We start from the raw sequence: 3,559 nt of genomic DNA on the forward strand, positions 1-3,559 counted from the left end.
GTCCACTTTCCATCTGACGTGCTCTTCCCTCTGTTGCCATGCCCTTGGGCCACTGATTCATATTGTCGCTTCTCAGAAATCATGAATGAGCATTGGAATATCAATGGCATGGCCTTAAGTTTATGCTTCCCTAAGTAGAAAGTAAATGCAAATATCTTGAGAAAACAATCTAACTTGAAGAATGGAAAGAAGGGTTGTTTTTCCATCTCACTCTGTCACCCAGGCTGGAGTGCGGTAGCACTATCTCGGCTCACTGCAACCTCCGCCTCCTGGGTTCAAGCGATTCTTGTGCCTCAGCCTCCTGAGTGGCTGGGACTACAGATGTGCGCCACTATGCCTGGCTAATTTTTGTATTTTTAGTAGAGATGAGGTTTCACCATGTTGGCCAGGCTGGTCTTAAACTCCTGACCTCAGGTGATCCATCTGCCTCGGTCTCCCAAAGTGCTGGGATTTTTTTTTTTTAAGGACAAAGTTGGCTTTAATAATTCATGAAAAAGAGAAAACTAGAAGGAAACTGGAAGCAGAGGACACAGAAAATTTGCTGTTAGCAGTGCACCCAGGGCTGCATGATGACTCTTCATGGGCTCTGGGCTTTTTTGCCTCTGTGGGCCCCTTCTCCATTAAAATATATAACTGCATTGCTATAGACAAGTACAATCTAAGCTGGGTTAATTATTATATATGCATTATTGTTATATTTATTTTTCTTTTGATTTGAAAAATGTTTAAAAAGTTTTTGGGCCCCTAGGCACTGTGTTTGCTGTGTCTAATAGCTTAGCCCACTCTGAGCCCACCACCCTGCCCTTTTGACACTTTGGGTCGCACTGTTCCTCCTGCTTGGAGTGTCTGTCGTCCATCCCAGCCTGTGTTGACCTGGCCCACGTGACAGATTCCTACTCACTTGCAAGGTCCAGCTCCAATGTAACTTTCACCAAATTTAGCAAATTAAAATACAGCATGCCCACTTGGATTTGAACTTCAGACAAATTACAAATATATATTATTTGTTATAACAGGCATGAGTATGTTCCACATGTCTCATGTCCCACATGTTGCATGAGACATGCTTGTACTAAGAAATTGTGCGTGCTTATCTGAAATTCAGATTTAACTAGGTGTCCTGTATTTTCTCTGGCAACACTAATCTGTAGCTGTTTCTGATTTGTTTTCCTTCCGGCTCTTTATCCCACCTGCGGCTCTCTCTGAGGCATTTTAGCGCTCTCTCCACACCTCTCCCTGCACGTCTCGCTTTCGGGGTATCACGGACTCCTCCCTGCAGCTGCAGTCCCATCTTCATCCCACTCAGCTGCCGTGGCCAGGGACGTGACAGTGTATTCCTTGTCTTAGATGAGTAAATATGAGTAAATGTGTGCTTGCCCTTCGTTTCCCCAACTGTCTGTTTTCAGGGATGACTTGGCAGCATTTGGTTTTCATTTCATTCAGGATGTTGTGAGGCTGAGACTAAAGATGAGTTAACTATTGCCTGGGATTCCAGCAGCGCTTCCGTTAACAAACGTGTGTCCCAAGAAGACCCTTGGGGCTTTTTCATTACCTGATGGAAAAAAGCCATAGACCCTCGGCTAAAACCCACGCCCCCTCCTTGGGTGGACTATGAGTGGAGGCAACAGGATTCCCCCTCCCAAGGGATTCTGGTGTCAGCTAGTACATCAGCCGTGGCCAACGGAGGATCTTGTGTTCGAAGGGAAGGTCTTTGTTTTTCAGACGTAGGTTCAGGAAATTCTGATTTTCCACCTCTATCTCGGGAATGGATTGATTCTTTTAAAAGTTCACTTTAACCTACTTCACTCCACACTCACGGTCCCCCAGAGTGCCTCCTTAACACAGCAGAAAGTTGGCCTGAGATGATCTCATGGGCACAAGCCACATAAGGCGGTCGGGACCAGTATCCAAGCTCCTCACCCAGTGCTCTTCCACCCTTCTCTGCAGCGCGGATTTCAGAGCTGGAGGCCAACAGCATGGCCTTCCCTCTGGGGATCGCAGTGAGGGGTGGCGCGCACTCAGGGCTGCAGACCAGCAAAGCACCAGCCCAAGAAGGACGGGGGAGCAAGGTGCAGGCGCCCCCAGGCTGCTGGGGACTTCCCAGCTCTCAGCACATTCTCCTTTTCTTGGTTAAGGAAGTTTCTAAAGTTGACCACTGGTTAATCGTTTTGTTATTCATGCTGAGCAAGAAACCAGGGTCCAAATACCGTGTGTGTGTGTGTGTGTGTGTGTGTGTGTGTGTGTGTGTGTGTGTGTTGTGTGTTTGGGGAGGGGTGCCCTCCCAGTAGGGAGCTGCCCAGTAGTTTCTGCCTCTTATTAATCTCTAGTACAGCTCGTGACTCACCATGAAACTCACAGGAACACGCAAGATGGCCCAAAATAGTTTCCAGGGTGGTCACCAGGTGTGATGAGAAAGAAGACAAAACAATGAACCCATGGATCCATGGTCACGTCTACATGGGGAATTCTGCACACGACACCCTCCCCTGGACTGTGAAACAATCATTGGCCCAATAAAGGCTCTGATAAGCTCTACAGTTATATTTTAAACCTTAAAGCATGGGTTGATGCTATTTAACTCAGTATTTTCCAAAGTTATTTGATCAGAGAACCATCCTGTCCTCCTCCCTTTTTTTTTTTTTAAATTTGAGGAGCATCTCACTGGGTAAGTAATCCTGGACACACTTTGGGAAAATAGCTCTAAAAAGGGAGAGGAGGTAAGCAGGAGTTTTACCATCTTATGTTCCCGCTCCAAGTCACTGACTTTGGACTGGAATTTTGGCTTGGAGAAAACGCAGCTGGCCTCAGCACCACCCTGGAGCCTCTTCCAGCCAGTCCTGGCAGAAGGACTCTGAATGCCTGAACCCACAGGTTGGTACCCGTGACTCCACCAAGTCTCCACGCAGGGACGGCGTGCATCGGGAAGAGGGGGCATTTCAGGCAAAGGCTAGTGCAGCACAAATGCCATCCATGGGGCAGCCTAGGCTGGGGCCATGCAGAAGAGCCATAGAGCACCATGCAAGGCCGCCTTTTGATAGTCACAAGGCAGTCTGTGACGTGACTCAGTTTCATACAAGCTGCTTCTTCTGCCTGGGACGCTCCTGATCTGTTGGCACTGTTTCTTAACTTCGGTCTTAAAGTCATTTCTAATTAAAGCAAGCTCCCCTGTTAGTGTCTATATTATAGGATCCTGTTTGTATTCTTTTAGCGTTTCTCAACACAGGGATCACTACATATTTTACTTTTTTGAATGTTGTCTGTCTCCCCGCAAATAAAATAACTCCAGGAGGACAGCGGTTTTTGCTTTGGTCACCATTAGAGCCCTGGTGCCAGGAACAGTGCCTGGCACAGTGTAGGCACACCATAAGGGTTTGTTGAATGAATAAGAACAATTTTGCAAGTTTTGTCCCTCCTGAGTGGGTGATTGGTTGCTGGGAGTTGATAGGCAAGGCCACTGACCATCCAGTGGGCTGTGTGGTAAGAAGGGGGTGATTCCTAAGAAATACTTGTGGATGGCTGCCTGGCCCAGTGCATGCAAGGAAGTACAGAAGTACAGAGA

This window comes from Homo sapiens, chromosome 5, assembly GCF_000001405.40.
Source record: "Homo sapiens chromosome 5, GRCh38.p14 Primary Assembly".
Classification (NCBI taxonomy): Eukaryota; Metazoa; Chordata; class Mammalia; order Primates; family Hominidae; genus Homo; species Homo sapiens.